The sequence below is a fragment of the Homo sapiens genome, chromosome 6 (genome assembly GCF_000001405.40).
Source record: "Homo sapiens chromosome 6, GRCh38.p14 Primary Assembly".
Classification (NCBI taxonomy): domain Eukaryota; kingdom Metazoa; phylum Chordata; class Mammalia; order Primates; family Hominidae; genus Homo; species Homo sapiens.
This window is the reverse complement of record NC_000006.12, coordinates 117,887,332-117,914,710: the sequence shown is the minus strand read 5'-3', so window position 1 is coordinate 117,914,710 and position 27,379 is coordinate 117,887,332. Positions and strand designations below refer to the sequence as shown.

At 39.8% G+C, this 27,379-nt stretch overlaps 1 protein-coding gene and 1 long non-coding RNA gene across 3 annotated transcripts in view; one reads left to right on the top strand and one right to left on the bottom strand.

Moving 5' to 3' along the window:
- SLC35F1 (solute carrier family 35 member F1) overlaps window positions 1–7,447 on the bottom strand; it is a 410,408-nt gene extending 402,961 nt beyond the window's left edge. For both annotated transcript variants that reach the window (NM_001029858.4, NM_001415931.1), the window contains exon 1: window positions 6,812–7,447. In NM_001029858.4, the coding sequence (NP_001025029.2) occupies window positions 6,812–6,984 (173 nt within the window). In that variant the 5' untranslated portion in view covers window positions 6,985–7,447. The remainder of the gene's footprint in view (window positions 1–6,811) is intronic.
- Window positions 7,448–7,780: 333 nt separating this feature from the next.
- On the top strand, window positions 7,781–9,052 carry LOC124901480 (uncharacterized). The gene is made up of 2 exons (XR_007059904.1): window positions 7,781–8,435; window positions 8,894–9,052. It is a non-coding gene; the product is annotated as an uncharacterized LOC124901480 (long non-coding RNA).
- The last annotated feature ends 18,327 nt before the right edge of the window (window positions 9,053–27,379 follow it).

The window sequence follows — 27,379 nt, the reverse complement described above, 5'->3', positions numbered from 1 at the left end:
TTTTGAGAGGTATATGTTATCTTTATTTCTATTTTAGTTAAATTGCTCCCTTGATGGGTTATATTCAAAGGGTAATAACAGAAACTCCACCAATGGCACCCAGAGGCCATACTAGCCATTGTGATCCAGCAGTGCCCAACATATAATAGTCACTCAATAAACACTCATTGAATAAAATTCTCCCTGCATGAATGAATCAATGAATGTGAGGAGATCTATCTTATACGACAGACCAGAGTGCTTTGTGCTTTCTCAGACTCAGATATGATCACAAATTGTAGCCCTGTCACTCTAAATCTGTATATAATTAGTATGATTTGGTTTTAAAAATCTATTCAGTGTTTGTTCAGTTATAGTAGGTTTCTCTATTTTTTTAAATGGAATTTATTAGGAATTGGTGGCTTATAATCTCGGAACTTGCAAAACTATATTTAAGGGCTTTTTTTTTTTTAATCCTCAGAGAGTCACATAGTAAATATTCTTCAGACAAAGTTTAGAATTTAAATTAATAGAAACTCTCTCTATATATATACACACACATATACACGTGTGTGTATATATGTGGATAGACAGATAGATAGATAGATAGATAGATAGATAGATAGATAGATAGATAGATAGATAGGATTCTTTTGTTTTTGTTTTTGGGGGGATTTTTTTGAGATGGAGTTTCACTCTGTTGCCCAGGCTGGAATGCAGTGGCGTGATCTTGGCTCACTGCAACATCTGCCTCCTGGGTGCAAGTGGTTCTCGTGCCTCAGCCTCCTGAGTAGCTGGGACTATAAGCGCATACCACCACGCCCAGATAATTTTTGTATTTTTAGTAGAGATGGGGTTTCGCCATGTTGGCCAGGTTGGTCTCACACTCCTGACCTCAGATGACCCTCCCACCTTGGCCTCCCAAATGCTGGGATTACAGTTGTGAGCCACCGCCCCTGGCTGAAACAATATTTTTAAAACTTAAATTATAATATAATTCAAAAAATTATACTCATGTTGCCACTAACTAACTGAGTTGCCACTAACATTTTTTCTAAGAAAATACTTCCTAAAGAATATTTATTGTTATTGTTTTCTTTGACATTTCTTGTGAAATTCCTTCTTAACTATTGTACATTCAAGGATTCCCTGTATAATTCCAAAGTGTCAGAACAAGGTTAATACGCATTGCATATTGAACAGCTCATTTACATTATTCCAATATCTAGACACTGGGAAGCATTTATTTAGGCATTATGTGTAACAATTCAGATTATGAATTACAACGTTCATTCTAAATAGTGATACACATGTCAAGTTTCCCAGTTAGGTTTTGAGGTTTTGGCCCAAGAATAATGTTTCGTCACATGTGTGTATTCCATAAGAAGGCTCAGCATACAGTTACTGCTTAAGAATAAATGAATATAGACCTGTATATGTTCATGTTACCATTAAGAAACATGCCCAAAATTCATAGGTTTTTTCCATACATCTACTGAAGTTTGTCTTCCTAAGCATACTTCTTGAGAAGCATAATCAAGAATTAATGTGTCTGAACAATGTACAGGGCATGCTCATTGGCCTGAACGCAAATGAACAAGCAAGCTAAACTAAAATCTGGTGGTGGTACTTTCACATGCTCCATATTATTTTTATGAGAAATGGCAACTACATAATAAAACATCTCTTGCATTAAGTAACTTTAGAGCTATATGAGCGATATGAGCAGCAGCTCAATTGCCTATACCTTCTACATCTATAGATGTGTACAGTGAAAACAGACATCAGTTAAGATGCCCCTAAGACACTGAAGGATTTTGAGAAAGTAAAAGTTCAAAGAAAATCACACAAAGACAAGTATATTTTAATACACGTTAATTACCTGAAAACACATCATCTTTATCTGAGGTAATCCAAATATCCCTTTAATGTGAACATTAGTTTCTCCAAGCACTGGGCATAAATACAAGTATACTGGTATAATCATTTATTTTTATAATTTTGTCCTTTTAGTTAAAAACAAATGCACCCTTCAGACATCTTTTCTTTACTACTGATCTTAGAAAAGTCTGTTTTTAATCACACCACCCAGTTCCACTTGGAATATTTTATATTAATCAACCTCATTACTAGCTGATCTTCCTCTTTTCATTTTGACATGTTTTAGACGGAGCAGCTTGAGGAAGATTCTCACCATTAATTTCCTAACAAAAGCCTTCTCACTTGATCAGAAAGGATCATCTAAATTATATGTTTCCACCAACTGTATGGAATACCTAGAGTTCAGTCATATCCATTGGTTCATGATGTTCTGTCCACCTTATTTAATGACTCAGAAAGGCTATGTACACATATTGTCCCATTTTACATGGTAAGTTTCCTACTTGGACATTGATTTTATGTAGGCTTGCTTCAAACTCTTCTATGTATATCCTTAACGATCTTTGGTTTATATTCAAAAAGGTTTCAGAAATTTGAAAATAAATCTAAATATAAGTTGGAAATCAGTTCATTCTAAATCAAATGAATGGATGAGTCAGAATCAGTAGTGATTCCATTCTAATGATTAAACATTCCCGCCATAAGACTCAAAGAGGCAGAAACCCCTTTATAATTTGAGACAACCCACTGTATGTCTTAATGGGAAGAAAGTGTATCAAAACAAGAAATTCACAGATATTTCTGTTAACAACTGAAAATAATACTCATGTGGGAAAAGATAAAAGCACACATATGCAAAACACAAAACAAGCTATCACTCATTTCTCAAAAACATTTCATTAAGAAATCATTTAGAGTACAAAATCTTCAGGCACTTTAATATGTAGGTCAGTAGCTACTCCTGTATGTGTCTAAGAAATCTACCTGATCAGCAGTTTCTTTGAGAGGGTCATCAACTGTTGCCCTTGAAGTATTTTCTTTTCGTCATTTTCTGATTGCCTGTGGCAGGGTAATATATACTATACCATGCTAAGAAATAAGGGAAGGCCAGGCACAGTGGCTCATGTCTGCAATTGCAGCACTTTGGAAGGCCAAGGTGGGAGGGTGACTTGAGGCCTGGAGTTTGAGGCCAGCCTGGGAAACAGAACGAGACCTCGATTCTACTAAAAATTTAAAAATTTTTTAAAAATAGCCAGGCATGGTGGTGTGCACCTGTATTCCCAGCTACTTGGGAGGCTGAGGTGGGAGAATCACTTGAGCCCAGGAAGTCAAGGCTGCAATAAGTTGTGATCATGCCACTGCACTCCAGCCTGGGCAACAGACCAAGATCCTGCCAGAAGGATGGAAGGAAGGAAGGAAGGAAGGGAGGGAGGGAGGGAGGGAGGGAGGGGAGGGGAGGGGAGGGGAGGGAAATGTGAAGAAGACTTTGCCGTATTTTTTCCTTGTTTGAATCAATATATTGATTGGTTCACAATTTTGAATATTAAAGGAGTAGTAATTATTCCAGCATTTAAATTGTCATGTTTCTTGCATCCTTTTGCCAAAACAATTTTGAGTATACCAGGGGAAAAAATGTGATGTCCCATTAATTATTTTAAAAAATTATCTAGTGCCTCCTCTTTCACCAAGTCTTGAATATAATTACATTCTAATCTAACTGTTTCACAGAAAGGGAGTAGTCAACCAATGAAATACCCCAATTGTTGTGTACAAAATGCAGCAATCCAACTCGACAAGCCTTTAGAGTAAGGGGAGAGGCTATGGAGTATACTATGGAAATAAAATGATGCTGAATAATGTAAGGCAGATTTTATTAAGATAACACTATATTTCATTCTAAGCTTCTTGAGAGCAAGAAGTACCTTTAATTAATTATTGATGAGCAATTCTCTCTTTAACTCTCCCTGGGTAGACAGGATATAGATAGCGTATGTGTTTGCAGTTCTTCCTCTGGGTTGTCAGATAGCTGTTCCTGTAGACTGTGACCAATGGCAGGCAATTCGCCAGGCTTGGCTTGCTCACAGTCTAATATTTCTCGTCCCATTGCACCACTCTGTGTCTCAGCATTACCCCTTTGGCCCAGTGGGATGCTAGGAGCTGACAGTGGTACAGCCCCCATTTCAGTCACTGAAGAGACTAGCCCTACCAGCCCACAGCAATAGAATGCTGCTAACCATATATCTGCATGTCAAAAGTTGGAGGGATATTTTTTATATTGGCTCCCAGCTTCCCGATTTGGAACCACTTTCTGCTAGGAGCTAAGTTGCTGCATGCCAAGGGTAGAGGAAAGAAGACAAATGAAGACAATGAGTGGACAGGGCAATGTGGGTGAAGTATTCAGGAAGGAGGAAGAGGAAAAGAAGAAAGCAAAAAAGGAGAAAGTAAGCAGATGGTGAGTTCTTAGAAAATTGACAAAGATGCTTATGATTAGGCCCCAATGGGCCTGCCTGATATCCATTACTGACTAGTCCAACACATCATGAGGGTTCAAACCAGAGGGGAGCCACATCCAAGCACTCTGCAGAATCTCAAAAATTCACTCTCCCCCATACTCTCACTTTTACCTAGAGCCTAATCACTCTATAGCCACTATTAAGGCTCTCATTGACATAATTATGGCACAAAAGCCAAGCCCATCAGCATGCTAAATAAATTATGCCATTGAGATTTTAAAACTTGCTCAGATTTTTCAGTCTCCTTACTAAAAATGTTCTTTCTTGAAACAAAGAGTTTCTTCTTATCCTTTAAGGATAAGGAAAAGCCAGTTACTCAATACAAAATATTATATTGAAAATTTTGAATAACTTTGAAAGACAAATAAATAAATAATTGTTTTAGCTTAAGTCTAAAGGCTACAAACCTAGGGTTCCATTCACGGTTGTATACCTGCGATGAAATGCCGTCAACCCAACATAAGTATAAGTTCCTCCTCTATACACTGGGACTAGTACAACTCATGTCACAGATCGTTTCATTAGAAACACAAGGTTCTACCCATAACGTAGCATGACTTCAACTTCATTTGCCTATGTTTACCCCATAGGCTTACCTTAGAAAAAAAATGAGTTGAATACATTAATTCATGTAGATCTTTATACTTTTCCAAGTGTTTTCTTCAGCATTATCTAATTCTCAAAATCATGGTAGGGAAGTAAAACAAGTACTGTATTATTAAACATAATTTACAATGAAGAAACCAAGACCAAGCAGATAAATGGCTCTGCTGCAAACCACTTGTCTAGCTACTGGCCAAGGTATGATGACAACATACCCCTCACTCCTACCTCAGTGATCTTGTTTTTCTGGGCTCTATGATTCATTACATATCAAGAAATAACCTACATGGAATCAGTAATAACTTATAATTGAGCAAAAAGAAACTGAGCAAAATATTACATCAATATTTTCTAGTTTGATGAGAAATAATAATAATTAAAATATATTGTGATTAAAAATTTAAACAGCCAATGACAAGGTAATTGCAATTGAAAAAAAAACTCACAGGTATTCATAAAAAATACAAAACCCACATAATATGTACTGAGCCAGCGTCTTCTTGCTTTATTCTACTTTATCTTTTGGAAGGTGGTATTCTCAGCTACAAATCAAAGACTTAGTTCTATTACCAACTCCTGTCTCCCGTCAGAGTGAATTTCTTTCTGTTTGATAATAAATGGAAAGCTACAGAAGTACCCGCAAATAAACTAACGCACGCATTAATTCCCCACCAGGGATTCTTGAATGGTTCGGGATTTGATATAACTAAATTAAACTATACTCCCAAAATAAGGATATTTCTCAAGATTCTATTTCTGTACATAGTTTGTACTCCCACCAGAGCTTTGAGCCCCAGACAGTTCCGTGTGAATTCGTTGGGAATCTCTGCTACCCAACACAATGCCACACAGAAACCTGTATGAACAGAGCGACTGGAACAGTTACCCCTACAGATGCATCGAAAGGCACCCACGCATCCAAACAAAAAAGAACACAAAACCCATTCCCTATACAATTTTTTAAGGTGTCAGCTCGTCAACCATTTCAAGTTACTTAAGTAGAAAAAGTCCCTTTCACATCACAGTTGAGTCAGAGGTGCCAGAGGTACCCCCATTTTCACGTCAACCCAGGTCCTCATCCTAAAACGTCAACGTCCTGAATCCACTACGCAGATTCCAGCACTGGAGGCGCCGGCGATCGGCACCCGCCCCCTCCGGCATGGGCGCTTCGGAATAACTGGGCGCCGCCGGCTCACACCCTGCCCGCAATGTTTTGCACTTTGCTGGGTCTGTTCCAGGCCTCTAGCCCTCTCTTCGCTGCTCCCAGCCAGGAAGAGTCCGAGAGGCGACTGGAGCGTCAGGCTGGAGAAGTGGGTTCCCTCCGCCTGCTAGGCTGTCGCTGCGACCCCATTCCCCCGGCAAGGGGTCGAAGCCCCCGGGCGGGGCGGGGCGGAGGACAGCACGAGGCCCAGGACTTCCACGCCATCTCTGCAGCCCCGCGCCTCCCTCCTCAGCCCTGGCCGGGTCCCCGCGTCCCCCCGACCCCCGATCGCAAAGCCGGGGTGCGAGAGGGAAAGGGAAGTGAGGCGGCACGCGTATGGAGGGTGTGAGTGCGGACACACATACAGGGTGGCTAGGTACGAAAAACCCCGCCTCTCCCCGAACTCCCGCCTCGGACCAGCTGCAGCTCCACCACTCCAGGGCTCCCTGCGCCGGGACAAAGCTGCCGCGGCCTCTCTGCGCCCGCGGAGCGCGTCGTCGCCCGATCTCCTCAGTCTCCTCCGGCCGCAACCCCGTCCCAAAGGACCCGTGGGCCGCCCCAGGGACGGAGGGGACCCGGAGCCGGGCGCCCGCAGCCCCCGCCCCCCGCGCCCTCGCCCGGCGCCGCCGCTCACCTGTTCAGCACTTTGCGGATCCTCTGGCGCACGCCAGCCCGGGAGGAGGCGGACAGGCTCCCGCCGCCGCCGCTGCCCTCGGCCGGCAGGTTCTCGATGGTGGTCACCACATGGTTCGGCGGGGCTGGCGACGGCGGCTGCAGCTGCTGCTGCGGCTGCTCAGGGGGGATCATCGCGGCAGAGGCTGAGGCGCGGCGGCGATCAGAACGCAGCCGGGTGCATCGTGTGCCGGTTCCGGGCCCGGGAACGCGCAGAGGACCCGGCCGGGCGGCCGCGGCCCGGGAGGCGGTGCTGCCTGCGAAGCGGTGAGGCGGGGAGGCACCCGCGGCTACGGCCGCCGCCGCCCAGCCCGCCACTCACTCCTCTCCAGTCCCAGTGCGCGCACCCTCGCGCCCGTGCCGCCGCCGCCGCCGCCCGCCCCGGCTCTTCCCGAGCCGCGTCCCCAAGTCCTGGCCCGCCCCGCGAAGTGGCTGCGAAGGGTGTCGCGCGGGGGCGCGGAGCTGCCGGTCGGTTCCGGGGAAGGAGTCCTGATTTCTCCTTGTTTCCTCGTGCCCGGGTCTCCTCGGGGCGCGCGGCGGCAGTTGTGCTGGCGCCGCCTCAGCCTGTGCCCCGCTCGGTCGGAAAGCTACCGTCTGTGTCTCACGGAGTGAGAGACCGAGGGTGAACCCGGAGAGCCGGGCGGGGGCGCCGGCGGCGGCGGCGGCGGCGGCGGCGGCGGCGGCAGAGCGGGGCGCGGGCGGGGGACCTGCGCGCTCTCCTCTCGCCAGAGGGCGCTGCCGAGGTGCCTTGTTGCCCCCGACCCTCTACTGCCCCGTCCGCAGAGGCCCACGGTCTAGGTTGTGGTGATTGTTTTGGTTTGGGTGTTTTTTAGGGGGATAAGGGGGCTGGGAATAGATCCTCCCTGTGGAGTTGGCGGGGATTCCTCGTTTCTGCCCAAGCGCCGCGGAATCCAGCACCACCGGCCTGGGACAGCGGCAGGACGCCGAGACAGGTGCCGGCCCCGGATTAGAAACCCAAACGGAGAATCCTAGATGTTGCTCCTACTACATTCGCCATAATTGGCCTGGTGGAAATGGGAGAAAAAACTACTTCTCACAAAGAATCAATTCTGGGAACTGGAAAAAGCATATCAGACCAACTCAAAACGTCTCCATTTGAGGCAATGTAGTGCTGTGAAAGGAACGTAGGCAGATTTGAGTTTCAGTGGCACATCTGAAACTTATCCGCAGAGACTCTAAGCAATTAAATTCTGAGACATTCTTCTCTGTGCAGCGAGACTACTCATGTCTTTCTCCCAGGGGAGTTGTAAGACTTAAATGAGGTAAACCACGCAGCAGGGGAGCCTAACAGCTCCTTTAATAGTCCCCCAACTCCAAAAGGGAAAGTCCTGTGTATCTGCCACAGAAATCTTGGACCATATTTCTACCAATGGAAACTGACTCTCTGTCCCGGGCATTCTTATACCAATTGATCCGGATCCCAATTAATAATCGATTCTTGAAAGAGAGATATTTTTCAAATTTTCCTTTATTTAGACTGTTTAGATAGGGATCTTGCCTTGAAAAATGATATGCATTTTAAAAAACTCTTCGCTTCAGTGCAGGGAATTGAGTAAGTTTAACAGGTAAGTTTGTTCACACAAAGGCATGCTGATACCACTACTGAATCCAAATGCTCTGAAACCAGCAAATTAAAAATACCAGTGATAGGATTTGCCACTGAGAGAGGGAATTGGGGAGAAAATAACACTCAAAAAAGGAATGGACTATGTCCTTTCAACAGAGGAGAAAAGGAATATGGAAGGATATAAATAAGATGGGATTCTTTGTTCAGTTAACAAGGTCCAATTCCTTTAACAAAATTCGGAGTCTTTTTTTAATCATCAAAAATATGAGAAAACGGGTATTTGCAAAATCTCTTCAATCTATATTTCAATTCTGTAAAACCTACTTGCTACCTGAAATATCCCTGAGGTTTCTTTCTACAGAAATTAACCCCAATTGGAACATTTTCCCTTTTATAATTAAAATGTCGTCCTGTTCTTTCTCAACAACCTTTCATTCTCTGATTTTTCCACCTCAGATTTGCACAGGACACTCTGAAGAATTATTACAAACAGGACCAAGGCTTGTAGCCTCTTGGGCATTAAAATTCCAATAGTGGCAATAAATTTACCCTTAGTGGACCCACCGAATGTAGCAGACATGAATAAAATGCACTTCAGCTGAACCTGGCAGCAAATCGTGGTAGAAGTCTCTCTATTAAAACAACATTTATGGTAATTTCAGGTGTCTGCCTTGAATAACTGGTTGCTTCAGTGCCCTCTTCCTTCACATTTGGCTTGCCTCCCTTTGAATGTTTTTGGCACATCACGACTCAGTGCTGTGTCTGCACTTCAATGTCTGCATTTGCATCTGGTCATTTCTCTAGAGGGACTACTAAATCCAAATGCTCTACATCTCCTCTGAGTCAGGAAGGGAGAAAACCAAGATGAAAGAACAACAAGATGAGAGATGTAAAATTTCGATCTTGTTGGTAAGACCTCAATGCAGACTCAAGCCTTATGCTTTTGTTACTCCATTTCTGGGGGAATACAGCATCAGATCCCTTCTTATCCTCTGATTCTGTACTCCATGCTCATTTCTTAGAAAGTAGCTAACCGCCAAGTGTGTTGGTGTGTGCCTGTAGTCCCAGCTACTCTTAATGCTAAGACAGGAGGATGGCTTGAGCCCAGGAGGTAGAGGCCAGCTTGGGCAACATAGCAAGACACCATCTCTAAAAGAAAAAAATATTTAAGTAGCTAGATAACATTTGTGAAGTAAGTAAACAGGAGTCAAATGTCCAAGTGTCATAATGGTGTGTCTGACATGAAATTAAACATAAAAGATGTAGAAAAGGGCTGCTTCCCTTTTTCCTGCTGCAAGACTTTTGTCCATCCCTGACCTCAAAATCAGTTCACGAGCTCTGACCAAAAGGAAGGGAGATGAAGGCAATGGGCTAAGGATCTGTATGTAGTTTTCAGTGGTGGCATGTGGGTTCCAGGGACATGCCTACTTCTCAGTTTACCTCCTCTTTGTCAGCTGTGGTTAGTGGTATGATGCTATTGCAGAATTTCCATGCCACAAAAAATTCTGCCTCTCTTACCATTATATCACCCGAATTTCTCTTCAGGCACAGACTAGTTCTGTTGAATTCCTTAAGGAAGCAGAAGTTGGCTATCAGCTATACCTTCTTTAGTGTTTCTCATTTTGAAGACATGTCCACTGATGTGGGGAAGAGTGAAGTTTGGCCTATGTCAGAGTCACCAGGCACTGACTAATCTGTTTAGCATAGACTGCACCTGTGCACGTTATTGAGAAAAAAGCTTCACAGTCATGCACCAGAGGTAACTGATGATCCTCCCCAAATTGCTGAACAACTATCTGGAATTGCTTGTGCTGCTGCAAATGACCAGTGGCCATATGCTTTCCCCGTATCATTCTTTTAATCTTTTTCTTTATCTCCTAAGTCAGATTGAATCTTCTCAACATGTAGTACTGAATCTATGGCCTCCAGAATGATAGAGCTTTGTGGTTTTGATTCACATAATAGAACTTGAATGGGAGAGAAAGCCAGGCAAAACTGGTGAAAAATTTGTGGAGAGGGGAAATGGCAGAGGAGTAGAATGGGTAAATCAATTTACATCCAAGAAATGGATACAATAATTGGCATGTTAAAGCACAGAACTTCAGTGAACAATCATCATCAATGAAGATAGTCTATAAATGGTATTAGTGGATATGAAAATATGCACAGAGCAGGGAAACAGACACTAGGCAACAGATATCAAAGACTGTTCACACATTCTACACGATGTTTCTGTTTATGTAATTTTTTTGTTTTGCATTTTGGAAACTTATTCCTTTGGAGTAAACCCAGAATACTGTGTAGGTTTATAATTGACCTTTTTGCTAAGAGAGATGGAGGATTAGAGATTAGTGCTGTTAGTTGTGGATAAGGGCTAATTTTGCAGAGTCAGACTACATTTTGATGAGTTTAAAATTTCTAAGTATTATTTGCAGAGTATTCCATGTCCAAAAGCCTGGTTTGGTATGTCTTTGTCATGGTGACATGGTAAGTCTCTGTTGACAGGAAGTTTGCCACATTCAGTGAAGGAATTATTCAGTAGTATCAATTTCCTCTAAATGAGTAGGATTATCTTAATATCCTAAGATATTAGGAAAAAATTCTATAGATGATGATATCTCAGAAGCGCTTACTATTTTACATACAATCAGTTATCAAATATCTGAATAAGGGAGAAAGATCCTTATACAAACATCAATTATTTCAGCCAGTGACTTCAATATTCTCTCCTTCTAAATATTTTAATACATAAAAATACTGATGGAAAATTGTGGGTAAAATTGTAATGACTTTTGTGTGGAATTTATACACTGAGTTATTAGGGCTAGGTAGGTGGAACTTGGAGCCCAAGTAATCTCAGTTCCAATTCCAGCTCCATTAACAAACTGGGTTAATTTTAGGCAATTATCTCAGATTTTCTGAGCATAAGTTTCCTAATCTTTAAAAATGGGGATAAGGGCCGGGCGCGGTGGCTCACACCTGTAATCCCAGCACTTTGGGAGGCCGAGGCGGGCGGATCACAAGGTCAGGAGATCGAGACCATCCCGGCTAAAACGGTGAAACCCCGTCTCTACTAAAAATACAAAAAAATTAGCCGGGCGTAGTGGCGGGTGCCTGTAGTCCCAGCTACTTGGGAGGCTGAGGCAGGAGAATGGCGTGAACCCGGGAGGCGGAGCTTGCAGTGAGCCGAGATCCCGCCACTGCACTCCAGCCTGGGCGACAGAGCGAGACTCCGTCTCAAAAAAAAAAAAAAAAAAAAAATGGGGATAAGGTATATACCTTTCAAAACACATAAACATTAGAAATTATGATTTTATATATTATAATATATAAATATATATAATTTCTAATATTTATAATTTTATAAATATATAAAACATGATTACATCTATGATTTTATAATATATAAAATCATATATAAAATTTCTAATGTTTATAATTTTATAAACATAAAACATGGTTATATTTTTATGATATGTATTATATAAAATCATGTTTATAATTTCTAATGTTTATAATTTCTAATATATATAGCAAGAGAGAGAATATCTGGCATAAAAACTATTTTTAAAAACGAATTGATCTGGACCTGGTCATGATAGAGTGGCTGTTATTGGAATTAACTTTCCCATGTGAACAATTCAATTCTAAAAGCTGGATAAAATATTGGACAGGAGTCAATATAAGACTATGATTCTTTGGGGAACAGAAACACATCAGAAATGAAGCACATTAGATGAGCCCATGTTCATCCCAGCTTTCACCCTATGGGCATTTTCCAGATGACAGTGTAGAGAAACAGTGCCCAATCAGAGTGGCAGTCTCACTGGGTAAAAGGGACAGAGATGGGAATTCAGAGCTGCAAAGGCAACTGGAATTTGGTGGGCAGAGTTCCAAAAAGGAGGGACCTAAAAGAAGGACCTTAAAAACACTGTGTGAAAATTCCCCTCAGAGCCAACTTTTATGCTATATATGTGCAGCACAAGAGTCTGGGAGATCAAGCAAAGAAAGCTGCTCAGAAGCTAGAGGGCTGAAAAGAGATTTCAGAGGCAGCATAGTGCTGAAAGGAATATAGGTTGGCATTCAGGCACAGTGATTGTAGAGAATACTTGGTGAGTCCCCAGACTTTTGTAGAAACTCTTAAAAAGGCCATACCCTAAGTATAAGAACCATGTAATAAGGGCTATGCCCTAAGACTAAAGACAAAACAATAGACCTTCCCTAACAGAGCCTAAAACCAAATCTCAACCTGATAAAGGTGATCCACTGACAAATTGATTGCCTTCCAGATTAAAGCTTAATGCTCTCTTGAAAAAGATGCCATCATCCAAAATCTCTATACTGTAAATTGATAATATCAAGCAATTAATCAGAAATTACTGCAGATGCAAAGAAGCAGGGAAAAGGTTACAGATAATCTATAGTACAGGTTAACAAATGTTTTCTGTAAAAGGCTAAGTAATAAATATTCTTGGCTTTGGAGGCATTAGTTTCTCTCATAATTATTCTGTTGCAACTTCTCTGCTGTTGCATGTGAATGTAGCCATAGACAATAGGTAAATGAATGTGGCTGTGTTTCAGTAAAACTTTATTATAAATAATAATCTATAAGATGAACACTGAAATTTGAGTTTCATATAGTTTTCACAATTCAAGAATTTTTTTTTTATTTTTTAACTAGTTAAAAATGTAAAAACCATTTTAGACTTGGGAGTTATATAAAAGCAGACCAATATTCATAAATATAGATGCAGAAATCCTTAACAAAATATTAGTGCATGAATTCCAACAACATATTAAAAAAATTACATACCATGACCAAGTAGGATTTATCCTAGGAATGAAAGGTTAATTTAACATCTGAAAATCAACTAATGTAATATACCACATTAATAGAATAAGGAACAAAATCTTCATGAGCATTTCACAAAATTTAACATTCATGCTTGATAAAATATCTCAAAAACTTGTAAGAGATGAAAATTATTTGAATCTGAAAGAACATTTACAAAAAACTTACAATGAAAATTATATTTAATATTTAAAGACTAAATGCCCTTCAAGATCAGAAAAAAGTCAAAAATATCTACTCCCACCACTTCTACTCAACAGTAGAAGGATAGGAGGATATAGCCAGTTCAATAAGCAAGAAAAATAAATAAAAGAGATTCAGAAAGAAAAGGAAAAGGTAAACCTATCTCTCTTCACAGATAAAAAGATCTTTTATGTATAATATACTAAGAAATTCACAAAAACACCATTTAGAATTAATGACAAATGCAGCAAGGTTTCAGGATATAAGATCAATATACAAATATCAGTTGTATTTTTTTTCTAGTAATGCACAATCTGCAAATGAAATTAAATAATTATATTTACAATAACATCAAAAAGAATAAGATACTTAGAAATAAATGTAATAAAAGCAGTGCCAGACTTTTACATAAAAAGTCACAAAGTATTATTGCAATAAATGAAAGAATCTAATGAAATGGAAAGACATCCCATGTTCATGAATGAGAAAACATAATTTTATTAAGATGACAATACTGCTCATTGATCTACGGATCCCATACAATCCCTATAAAAATCTCAGCAGGTTTTTTTGCAGAAACTGATAAACTGGAAGTATATTTAGACATCTGGCAGAGAATTTGCAATTTAATGACAAGCGAAAAATTTCAGAAAATGATAATAATTAACTGTAATGATAACCAAGAGTTTTTTGGGCAGGAGATGAAAAGTAGTTCACTAATTGTCAAAGCTTTAAATAGCGTTTGCTGAGCTATAACAACATAGACACTGAATTTTGATCTAGATAACTATATTTGACTGATGACAGGACAAAATGATGCATAGGTATATTTGGAGTTAGGAAAAATGAAAGCTAAATTGACAGCTTTCATAGTGAGAAAACACTAGAAGAATCAACTAAGAGAATGCAAAGTGATTGCCTCCAGTGATGGGGAAAATGGTGGAAAAGGAGGAGGAGCACTACTGTTTTACATAACAAACCTTGTAGAATTATCTGACTCTTTAAGCCATTTCTAGATATAACTTTGAAAACAAAATTTAATTACAAAAAAGGAAAATACATAAGTGTAACCTTGATACATATTTTTGTTTCTGTTGAGTTCTTGGTGTTATCAAGGCACCTTCCTGAGGAGCTTGCAGCTAAGGGAGAAAATTGGAGGTTGATGCCAAGAGCTGGAATAGTTTCTTATTTAGGCTAACAAAGAAGTTTCACAGAAAATCTGCAAACAAGTTCATTAATTTGCCAATTATTCTTTCATTCTGTAGAGATGTCTACTTTTTCTTTGTTGATAAATGTTCGATTTCCCAATAGATTAATTTAGCTGCAATTCAACAAATATTTTCTTGTCTTTTAAGTAGATATGAAATGATAGAATATTATAAAAACAAGAAGCCATTATTTTCTAGCTAATATTCTTTATCAACAAGGTAGGGAAAGATAGAAAGATAGTAAACTTCTTTTTCACTTTACAAATCAAAAGTTAAACATGGTTGAGTTTATTCATTCAGTTGGTTGTAGTAGATTTTCCTTTTCCATTTAGGCTTATTCAAGGCTGTTTAAAGTCAATTGGAATAAAGTATCACATATTGGATATCTTTCAATATCATATTGTAGAACATTAAAAAGCTGAATAGTCTACCTCCAACCCAGTAATAATTTCTCATGCATTTCTAAACTCTTTTTATTTTTAAACCATTTATACTGATTCTTCCTGGTAAGTATACAAAAATATATTTGTGTTATTTTTGTTTACCTGGAAACCCAAATGAGCTCCTAATTTTGTGCCTAACTCCAGTTTCTTATTTTCGGACTCAGACTTAAACATTCCATATTCTCTACTTGATGATAAACTTCATAGAAGCCAGAAACCTTTCTGAAGGCCAATCTTTCCCATGTCAAGTTCAGTTAGAGCTGAGCTTTAACAAAGTCAGAAGACCCTGTGAGGATTACTAATCACCTGTGTGTTGATACAGTCCTAAAATAATACTTGTGTCACCTAGCACTGAGGTTTTCCTTGGCTCCAGTGATTTTCTTTCAACTCGTCTTTCACTTCCAGGGTCCTTATCTCAAAAACTGAATGCCCTCTGATACATGGATAAAAAAACCATCATATTCTCTAACCACTATGTCTAGTATCTTCACCTTAGCATTCCACTGACCTCATCAATACTTCCTCTCAAATTCTCAACACCATCCCTACCAAATTTAGATTCAATGAGCCTCTATTCCAACATCCTTTTTCAAATTACCTTAATTTCTTTCATCTACATCAGCGGTCCCCAACTTTTTTGGCGTTTCATGGAAGACAATTTCTCCATGGACAGGGGTGGGCGGGTAGGGGGATGGCTTGGGGATGAAACTGTTCCACCTCAGATCATCAGACATTAGTTAGATTCTCATAAGGCACATGCAACTTAGATCCCTCACATATGCAGTTCACAATAGGGCTCACCTCCTAACCTGACAGGAGGCGGAGCTCACACGGTAATGCTCATTCGCCCACTGTTCACCTCCTGCCTTTTGGCCAGTTCCTAACAGGCCATGGATTGGTATAGGTCCAAGTTCCAGTGGATGGGGACCCCTGATCTACATGACAAAATGCTACCTGGCTTAATTGCTTATCCATTTGTCTATTCTATGCATGTACCTAGCAGCTGGATGTTGCTAAAGGAGAACACAAAAGCCTACTGAATGATCTCTTTATTTTCATGGCCCGCAAAACTCAAATACATATGCATTACTTTCCAAAAATGATATTAATGTTTCTTTACATATTTGGTCTCCCTCTCTCTACACGTTCTCCTCTCTCTGCCAAGCTGCTTCAGAGTCTTTTCCACCATCAGTTTTAGGATTTTTTTTTTATTCTTTGTTGAAAATAGAAACAATCAGACAGAAGCTGCTTTGTCTTCCTGCCACTAAAACTACCTGCATCTGTAGTCATACTCTTTACCTTTCCTCCAGATACAATGAGGGAAATATCTCTCAAAGGCTGACTGTATTAGTCAGGGTTCTAAGGAAAAACAGAACCAGTAAGATATATAAGAGAGAGGAAAAGATGTATTTTAAAGAATTAGCTCATCCAATCATGGAGGTTGGTAAATCCAAAATCTGCAAGGTGGGCCAGCAGGCTGGAGATCAGGGAAGAGATGATGTTGCAGTTCAGGTCCAAAGACCAACTGCTGGCAGAACTCCCTTTTGCTCTTTTGTCTGTTCAGGCTACCAACTAACTGAAGGAGGCTCACCCACATTGTGGAGAGCAATCTTCTCTACTCAAAGTCCACCCATTTAAATGTTAGTATCATCTAAAAACACCCTCACAGAAACATCCAAAATAACATTTACCACATACCTGGGCACTGTAGCCTACCCAGGTTGACACAAAAAATTAACTGTCTCACTGACCCTCTACTTGCTTACTCTAAGGCTTCGCCCCTTTAGTTATTCCCAGTCTCTCCTATATATCTAACATTAATATCTCTCATCTCAGAAAATAAGACTTCCTAGGTTCCTGATTGCATTTTCCACACATTCTTCTAAATGCCATCCAGTCTGTTAGCTTGTCTATAGTCACTTTTTCACCTCTCTTTTTTTAACATGTTCCACTACTGCTCTGGTCTCCATTGTGAAAGGGAAATAAATCTCAGGACGCCAGAATCACTAAGCCAAAGGGAAAAGTCAAGCAGGGAACTGCATTGGGCAAAACTCCCTCCCATTCAAGTCCTAAATAAGATAGCCACAAAGATTTTTTTTAAGCTACATACCTTGCTTAGAATTTTCCCATAAGAAAATTCCTTATGAACAAACGACAGACAGAACACAAAGTCATCTCTTTGCTCACATGAGACAAATGCATATCTGATTGATTTCTTTGCCCTATTGTTTCACTAAGCCAGACTAAGGCATAAGAGACTATTCCTGTTAATTGTGTATTCAATGAAAGGCCAATCAGAAACTCAAAATAATGCAACCATTTGTCTATTATCTACCTATCACCTGGCAGCCTCCTCCCTGCTTAGATTCGTCTTACCTTTCCAGACTGAACCAATGTACATCTACATGTATTGATTGATGTCTCATGTCTCCCTAAAATGTGTAAAACCAAGCTGTGCCCCAACCAACTTGGGCACATGTCTTCAGGACCTCCTGAGTCTGTGTCATGGGCACATCCTAAATCTTGGCAAAATGAACTTCCTAAATTGATGGAGACCTGTCTTCAGATACCTTTTGGTTTACACCATCATTCCATTCAACACTTGTGAAGGTCACGAGTGTGTGAGTGACTTCTTTGTTTCTGGTTTTAATACTTAATCCTCTGTATAATTCAATTTATCAGTGTATTCAACCCAGGAATCGTTTCTTTCTTTTTGAAATTTCTTCTTCTCTTGGTTTCAGGACACATTTATCCAGCTTTCCTCCCAATTCACTGGCCTCTCTTTTTTGAGTCTCTTGTCCAGCTCTGCTTTCTCTGTTCTTCCTCCAATGGTTGGAGAACTTTGGGGCTCTTTCCTAGGATCCCTGTTCTTTTTAATGTATACATGCTGTATTAGTCCATTTTGCATTGCTATAAGGGAATACCTGAGGCTGGGTAATGTATAAAGAAAAGGGGTTTATTTGGCTCTGTCCTGCAGGCTTTATAAGCATGGCAACTGCATCCGCTCAGCTTCTGCTGAGGCCTCAGGAAGCTTTTATTCATGGCAGAAGGCAGAGGGAGAGCAGGTATGTCACATGGAGGGATAGCAGGGAGAGGGAGGGGAGGAGTTCCAGGATCTTTTTAACAACCAGCTCTTATATGAACTAATAGAGTGAGAATTCACTCACTACTGTGAGGACGGCATCAAGACATTGATGAAGGAAATGCCCTCATGACCCAAATACCTCCCAGTAGGCCCACCTCCAACATTGGAGGTCACCTTTTAACGTGAGATTTGAAGGGGACACACATCCAAACCATATACATGCCTACTGGGTGATCCCTCCAGTCCCATTACCATACGTAAGCCAGTAACTCCAAAATTTATACCTCCTGCTCCACTTCCTTTCCTGACCTCCAGGCTCATGTATCTAACTACCACCTTGAAATTTCCCCTTGAATTTCTAATATGAATCTCGATTCATCGTCCCCATCTCAGCAAATGGCACTAACATCTATTCAGTTCTCTAACAAACAAACAAAAATATGTAGTAGTGACCTTTCATCCCTCTTTTCATTGCCCCAGCATCCAATCTATCCTCAAGTACTATAGGCACTGCCTCTAAAACTTAACACCTCCTTATCCAGTGCATAAAACATGCTTTGCACATGGCCCTTGCTCAGAAAGTTTGCTTTAATGAATTGAATGAATAACTCTCAAATTGTCTTCAGCCTGGTATTTTACTCTGGCTTCTAGATATATACAGTGAACTCAGAGTCTTCACTTAGATGTTTTAAATCTTCCACTGAATATGTCCAAGACAAAATTTATAATTTTATTCTCAATCCAAACTGATGCTCACCAACCTTCCCCCCAAATGCACAAACTTGAAATTTAACTATTATCCCTTATACACTTTTTTCACTCTTTTCCAAATTTAATCCACCAGTGAGTCCTGTCCATTTGGCCTTCTACATATTTCCAGAATCCAATCATTTCTCTATCATCACTGCCACTGCTTTAGTCCAAGCTACATCATCTCTTGTTTGGGCCACTGCAGTAGTCCCTAAATCGTTCCCCTTGTATCCATTCTGGCCCAGTCCCAAAATTCTCTCCATCCTGCAATCAAAATAATCTTTTCAAAGTGACAATGTTATCATGCCACCCTCCTGCTTAAAACTCTTCTGTATTTTTCATATCCTTCTCAAATCTTACAAGGCTATCTTCAGTTCCTTCTTGTCTCTCCCCTACCTGGTTTCATCCCATTCCAGTTTCCTACTTTTTCCTTTGCGTCAGCCACATTGGCTTTCTGTCAGTTCCTCGAAATTGGAGGGCTGTCTCTTATCTCACAGTCTTTGTATATGCTGCCCCACTGCCTGGAATATTTGTCATTTCTTCCACTCATTCCAACCATCCCCCAGCTATGCTTAGAAATTTTTTATCTTTCATTCATATTTAAGCTCAGATTTTATTTCCTCAAGCTGTCTCTGATCCTCATTCAGAATAGATTATGTTCCTTTGTTATAGAGAAATAAGTTCATTTTCTTCATCACCATTTTACTGCCCATTCAGTTTTAAATTTGTATGATTATTTGAGTAGTGACTGCTTTCCCCACTAAACAGTAAGCTCCGTAAGAGTAGGGAACGGGTTTGCTCACATTGTATGTCCAGCACTATCAAGTGCCTGGCACATAGTAGTTTCACAGTAAACTTTCATTAAATACATGAATAAATTATGGAGGAATGGACTCCACTATTCATTCAAACTCTACTGTGAACATGCCCTTCCTCACGACCTTCTCACTAAGATCTGGCCCTCCCCAAACATCCCAACTTCTCCTGAATCTTCCTCAACTTGGGTTTGCTTATTTAATACTTCCTCACAGGTATGGGGAGTAAGAAGTCAGCTTTGTTACTTCCCAGTGCTGCTTCCAAACTTTTTTTACATTTTTTTTACATGCTATCTAACTGACTCGCCCTTATCTGCTCATCTTCATAGGCATTAACTGACCTTCTCATCACTCTGCTTCACTTGATTTCCTTTTGCCTTTCACCTTGGACTTGCGATTATCCTACACTATTTCCAGGTTCATGTAGATTACTCATCAGCACCCAGGTGCTTTACTTTTATATCTGATGGGATTTTCACCTCCAATTTAAAAACTCACTCCCATGGCCAAACCCTGGACCTTATTATAACGCAGAATTGTTCCTTGTCTGAAATGGCCTCCAGCCCTAAGGGTGGCCTCAATGTAGTCCATTTATCTTCTTGTGTTTCACTGGCAGCTATTTTAAACCTTTCCACCCTCATGATCTCTGGCAGTATATCTCCATTCCATGACTGTGACCACCACCTCCGTCACCTCCACCATCCCACCACCTCCTCCCTCTACTCAGCAGGTACTTGCCTCCTACTCCACGGGGAAAATAGAAGCCATTGAAGAGAATTCCCTCAGCTTCCTACAACCAAACCTACAATTTTACCTCTTTTGTAGCTGCTCATTTTTTATAGTGGATGAAGTGTCCCTCAGCCTTCCTGAGGCTACTCTCCTCACCCATGCTCTGGACCCTATGTTCTCCTGCCTTCTCAGAGACCTTGGTCAATCAAGCACCCCTGCCTGTACTATAATTTTAACTTCTCCACTGTACAGTCTCCTAACCATACACATTTAGACATGTTCAAATCTCCACTTTCTTAAAAATTCAACAATGCTTCCTCTGAGTTTATGTCAGAGGAATGCCTTTTACTTAAGGGTATTTTCTCTTCTCAACAATGAAACTCCCTGACGATGTTGTCTACATTTCCTTGCTCCTTTTCCCAACCTCACTGCTATGCTGCCATACTTCTACCCACGCTGCTCCCACACACCACACCTTAGATATTGTTTTTTCTAAAGTTACTGATGACCTGAATCTATAGACACTTTGCTGCATTTTCTGTAATGTATAAAACATATGACACAGCTGACCCTCTTGAAATTTTCTTCCCTTGGTTTCTGTTCTCTTACTTTTCTTCTTCTGACTGTTCCTTCTCTATTATTTTGCAATAATCTTTTCCTCAGCATGCTTCTTAAATGTGTTCCTCAGCATGCTTCTTAAATGTGTTCTCTTCTCTTTCACTCCACAATCTCTCCTTACAGAGTCTCATCTATTCCTATGGCTTTAATTACCATCTACATGCCAGTGACTTTAAAATCTGTGTGTAGGACAAGCTTGTTTTCCAGAGGTTCTGACTAGAATAAATTACTACTGACTGAATATCTCACTTATTTATTCCCAAGCATCTCAAACTCAAAATGCAAAACCTCAACTCAATAACTTTCTCCTGAAACTTCTTCCTCTGTTCACTAACTCATTGAATGTACCATTTCCCTGTCATCTCCAGCCTCTCATCAAACACCCAAATGTCTCCTGAGTCCGCTCTTTCCTTCTCCCAATGCCTCCTTCATACTACATCCTATTCTGTCTGGCCCTTCCTGCTCCCCTCTAATTCATGCTCCGTATTGATTATACAAGGTACAAATATGACTAGTTGGCTACTTTGCTTGAAACCCTTCAATAGTTTCCAGTATTTCACAAAAGAAAGTCCAAATTCTGCCCTTTGCTTATCACACCTTTTATAATCTGACTCCTATTTATTTTTTCTGTCTTCAAATTTTGCACTATCATGTTTTATGTTCCAGGTATGATAAATTATTTTCATTTCCTTGAATAGGATACACTCTCTTTCACCTCATGGATTTTTGCATTAAACCCCCTTCACGCTCCTTTGCTTAGCTAACAGTTAATTATCTTGAAATAAAGTTTGAGAAAACTCTATGTATCTTACCATCTATTGCAGCATTTTAAGTTTTGCCAAATAGCCTAAACCCTGTGGATTATCATTTCAGTCACTTGCTTACATTTTTTCTTAATCTCCTTTGTCCTCCAGTTACACATATTCCAAAAGTCCCTAGCATCAATAAATTCAAGCCTTCAAATTTTCTTTTCCTTCTTTCAGGCCACAGTGAAATTAGGGGGAAAGAAGAATCCTACAAGCTGCTGCAAAACCACAAAACTTTGCCTCTCGTCAAATCCCTTCTCTTGCCACTTTCTCCTTTCTGGTTCTCCAGGAACAAAATGAACATCATCAGGAGAAAATTTCCTCAAATTCCACTCTACAAATATCTTTCTTTAAATACAATTTTCTATTCTGCATAGTACATGCCATGTCCCCCTCATCTCCCTCCAATCCCTCCAAGGCTAATTTATCACCCAGTGTTTGAATTCCATCTCCACTGGATTGTCTCCTCAACATATGAACATGTTGAAATAACTTCCATCTTTAAAAGTAAAGCAAAACAAAACAAAACCAATACCTCTCTCAATTCCGTGTTCCATCTAAATGCTTGATCAAGGAGTGTTTTATATTCTGTCTATATTTTCTCTCTCACTCTCTCTCTCTCTCTGTGTGTGTGTGTGTGTGTGTGTGTGTGTGTGTGTGTGTGTGTGTGTTTTGAGACAGGGTCTCACTCTGTCACCAAGGCTAGAGTGCAGCGACATGATCACAGCTCACTGCAGCCTTGACCTGCGGGCTCAAGTGATCCTCCCAACTCAGCCTCCCAAGTAGCTGGGACTATAGGCACACATCTCCACACCTGGCTAATTTTTAAATATTTTTTATGGAGATGAGGTTCCCTTGTGTTGCCTAGGCTGGTCTCAAACTTTTGGGTTCAAGAAATCCTCCTGCCTTGGCCTGCCAAAGTCTTCGGATACAGGTATGAGTCACAGCACCAAGCCTATATTTCCATTTTGCTCTATTCACTCTGTAATCTGCTGAAGGACAGCTTTTGCCCCAATACATCACTGAAATGGATTTCATTAAGGTCACCAAAAACTTTCATATCTCTTGCATTTTCCAAAGCCAATTATATTAGAATTCTCCAGAGAAACAGATCCAATAGAATACATACAGAAGAATATAAGAAGAGATTTATTATTGGCTTTATAATTTGATTTATAATTACATTTATAAAGTTATTTACTTGATTATGGAGGCAAAGAAGTTTCATGATCTGCCATCTACAAGCTGGATACCCAGGAAAGCTGGTGGTATAGTTTAGTCTGAGTCCAATGGCATGAGAATCAGGAGAGCAGATGATGGAACTCCCAGTTTGAGGCTGAAGGCCTGAGAATCAGGACCTTGTATGTTCTCACCATTTTGTTTCATTCAGTCCTTCAACAGATTGGATGATGCCCATCCACTTTGGTGAGGATGGATCTTCTTTACAGAGTCTACTGATATAAATATTAACCTCTTACAGAAATCTCTCACAGACACACCCATAAATCACGTTTTACCAGCTATGTGAGCATCCCTTAGCCCAGTAAAGTCAACTCACAAAATTAGCCATCACACCAATTAACTTTTTTTCTGTTCTTATTTTACCTGAATATTCCAGGGAATATTTGATAATGTTGACATTCTTCTCCTGATTGCTCTATTCTTTCTGCTTCTGGAAGAACATCTCCTTTGTTTTCTCCTATCTCCTTGGTTGTCTGTCTCATCTACAGGCTTTCTTCTCTTTCAAATGCCCCTTAACTGTTGGTTTTATCCAGAGCCTCAAACTTGGTCCTCTACTTTCAATGCATGGTCTCTAGGTGATCTTATCCACCTATATGACTTCAGCTGTCACTCGCTACTTCCAATGGCTCTCTCTAATCAACTTTTTAAATTTTTAAAAATCTATTTCTTTTTCTGAACTGTCTGATAATTCTAATCCCTACACTTCCAAACACATATCAGAAACACTATGTCCCAAACTCCTCCCACTCACCTCCTCCTCCTGCTGTGGCACCTGGCATAGTGAATAACATTAATCCCAAATCAGTTGCTCAAACAGAGTGCTGGGAGATGCCCAAACTGTGCCTTCTCAGTTACCCCACAGTCACCATGGCTTAAAGTATTATCTCCTAAAAAAACCCTTCTCATTCACTCCTATCCTATCACATCACTAAGCCTTGTCCAGGTTCTTGTCATGTCTCAGTCTGGTCACTGCAGTGACCTCTGATTTGGGCTCCCACCAAAGTGCTTTGTCAGAAACACAAATCTTACATTGTCACTTTCTTTCTGTTAGTCCTTCAATGGCTCCATCAGCTTACAGGACCAAGTTCAAATTCCATAGCTAAATGGAAGCTCATTCATGATCTGGCCACTTGCCAACCCCTTTCAGCCTCATTTTTCCTATTCCCTAGTGTGCACTTCCTTTGCTCAGAATGCTCAGTTTCCCTACTGTGTAGTGTTGTTTCATGCCTTTGGGCATTCCCACATGTTGCTCATTCTACATATCTCTCCCTCCTTTCCTGATTCAGCTGACATCTATTAGTTGTTTTTAAAAAACCACCTCAGGAATCACCTCCTCCAGGAAGTTTTTCTTGACACCATAGCCTAATTAGATGCCCTTAGCAGTGTAACCACAGCCTTCTCTAAGTGCACCAAACATAACATCAATTTTTCTATGTATTTATCTGAAGGCTATAAGCTCCTTTAGCTAAAGTACCTTGTCTCATGCAGCTTCTTTCCCAGCACTTAGTACGGTACATGGCATGCAATAAGTATCTGTCAAATAACTGACTGACAATGAAGAAACTGACTTAGGGAATTGTCCTACACATTTTCAAAATCAGATAATGTAAAAAAAAAAAAAAAAAAAAGTTGGAACCAGGCCTTATATACTAGACTTCATTTAAGGTTGGAAATAAAAAGCTAAAAGGAGAGGAAATGTCTCCTGAAGAAATATATTGCCTATTCAAGCCAGAATACACTTTTAAAATAGGCCAAGAGATTTCTAGAAAGCAATGCAGTTAACTTTTTATTTAAACAGAAACTGTTCTTTGCTGTCTTGCCTGTTTTTCTAGACATAAGTAAATGACTCATTCATATACAGAGGCTTATTGAAAATGTATTGTATTCAGAGGTTCTTTCTATTTCTCTTATTGTTTGACCTTGATAGTAAATAGCTATGTGATATTTGTAATGCAGCTAACCACACAAAGTGAAAAGGAGAGTTAGCCAATTACTTGGTGAAGGAAATCAGCATAAATAGGCTTCATAATTCAAGCCAAAAAAAGTCTTCATTTTTAAATAAAGCATGGTATTTTAGACTGCATTATTTGAATAAATTAACTCTTTAGTGGCAGAGGTGAAAGTAATTTCAAAAATTCATTGTGTTTTAGCTTTGGAAAGTTTTGTGATTTTTCTTCATATATTTAACATCCTTATTTGTTTTATTTTGGTAAATACTAAGTGTAACTTGCTTCCCAGAGCATTTATTACTATAGTGCAGCCAAAGGCTGTCTGCAAATGTAATGAATGTTGGGGAGTGGGAGTGCTTAAAAATTGACTTTACATAATTAAGTTTAAATTAAAACATGAGTTTGTTTCTTGACAAATATTTCTTAAGCATTTACTATGAACCAGGTACTGTAATTGATTCTAAGATATAAAAGTGGTTAAGACAATGTCTTGCTCTCTCTCTTGCTTCCTCTCTAGCCATGTGTCCTCTGCACATGCCAACTCCTTTTCACCTTCCACAATGAGCTGAAGAATCCTGAGGCCCTCACCAGAGGCAGATGCCCAATCTTGAACTTTCCAGCCACCAGAATTGTGAGCCAAATAAACATTAAAAAAAAATAAATTACCCAGCCCAGATATTCTTTTATAGCAACACAAAACAGACTAAGACTGCCTCATATAGGTAAAATCATGCAGTCTTTTTGTGACTGGCTTATTTTACTTAGCATAATGTTCTTAAGGTTAATCCATGTTATAACATTTATCTGAGTTTCCTTCCTCTTTAAGGCTGGATACTATTCCATTGTATGTATATACCACATTATCTTCATTCATCCATTCATGGACATTTAAGCTCCTTCCACCCCTTGGCTATTGTGGATAATGCTGCTATAAACATGTGTGTGCAAATATCTCTTTGGCATTCTGCCTTTAGTTCTTTTGGATACATACCCAGAAGTGAGATTGCTGGGCCATGTGGCAATTGTCTTTTTAATTTTTTGCAGAACTGCCATGCTGTTTTACATACCAACTGCACCATTTTACATTTCCACCAGCAGTGCTCAAGGGTTCCAGTTTCTCCACATCTTCAGCAACACTTGTTATTTTAGCCCTTTTTTAATAGTAGCCACTTTCGTGGGTGTAAAAGTTATTAAAATAATTTAGACTTCAGTGCCTTTTGCCATACACAATACATAGCAACTACTTTATGAAAGCTTATGGTTGAGATGTATTAAAAATGTATATTTTCATAATGTGTTTGCTTTATAAAGTTGATGTTAGAGATCATTAATGGAGCCTATGATCTGTGCTTTAGGATAAAATAAGACATATCTTAGGGAAAAAAAGACTATCTCTGCTTTGAAGGAATTCTCAATTTGGTGAGCAAAACATCTATAACAACCAACTAAATCATCATATGATAAGTGTTACAAGGGAAGAATAAATAACATACAATGAAAATAGAAAGGTAAGTGTGACTCACTTTGTGAAAGAGTTGAGGAAGAAGAGGTTACAGAGAAAACTTCTTCAAGGGTTTGATTTGACCTTGATAACTGTGGAGAATTTCACCTGGTGGAGAACGAGCGGTTAAGAGCAGAAGGGCACTCCTGACAAGAGTAACCAAATCCACAAAGGCCTGATGGAGAAGCAATGCACACTATGTTTGCAAGGGTGGATAGAGCTCAGGGAATGTGTGGGAAGTGCACGGGATAGAACTGATACAAAAGTTTATTTAACAACTACATTTCCTAGAGTTTAGCTATCTATAAAATAAAGAAATAAATTTTGCTTTATCTGTATACCAATAGTACTACTACTTACTTAACATTGTTTAAAATGACTTTCTAAAATGTAAATGCCTATTTTGGCTTCATGTTAAGCAATAATATTCATGAAATTACACTTTTAAGATGCTAATCACATTTTCCTAATACCCATTAAAATAAAAATAAGTAATATAATTATGTAAATGCTTGGCACTGTGCCACTTAAAATTGTCTCTCATTCCACCAGGAGCATATGCTCCATACTTTGGGAAATACTGCTTTGCATTAATAATGGACATGAAAGAAACACCTTTCACAATCTTTAGTTTTCCAAATATGTGAGGAAGTAGGGAAAATGATTAAATGTTTTAAATGAAGCAATTTTGAAATTTCTGCTAGAAGCAAGCATGTAATGGCTGAAAAATGCTAGGAAACAAGTGGTCAGAGAAAGTTAGC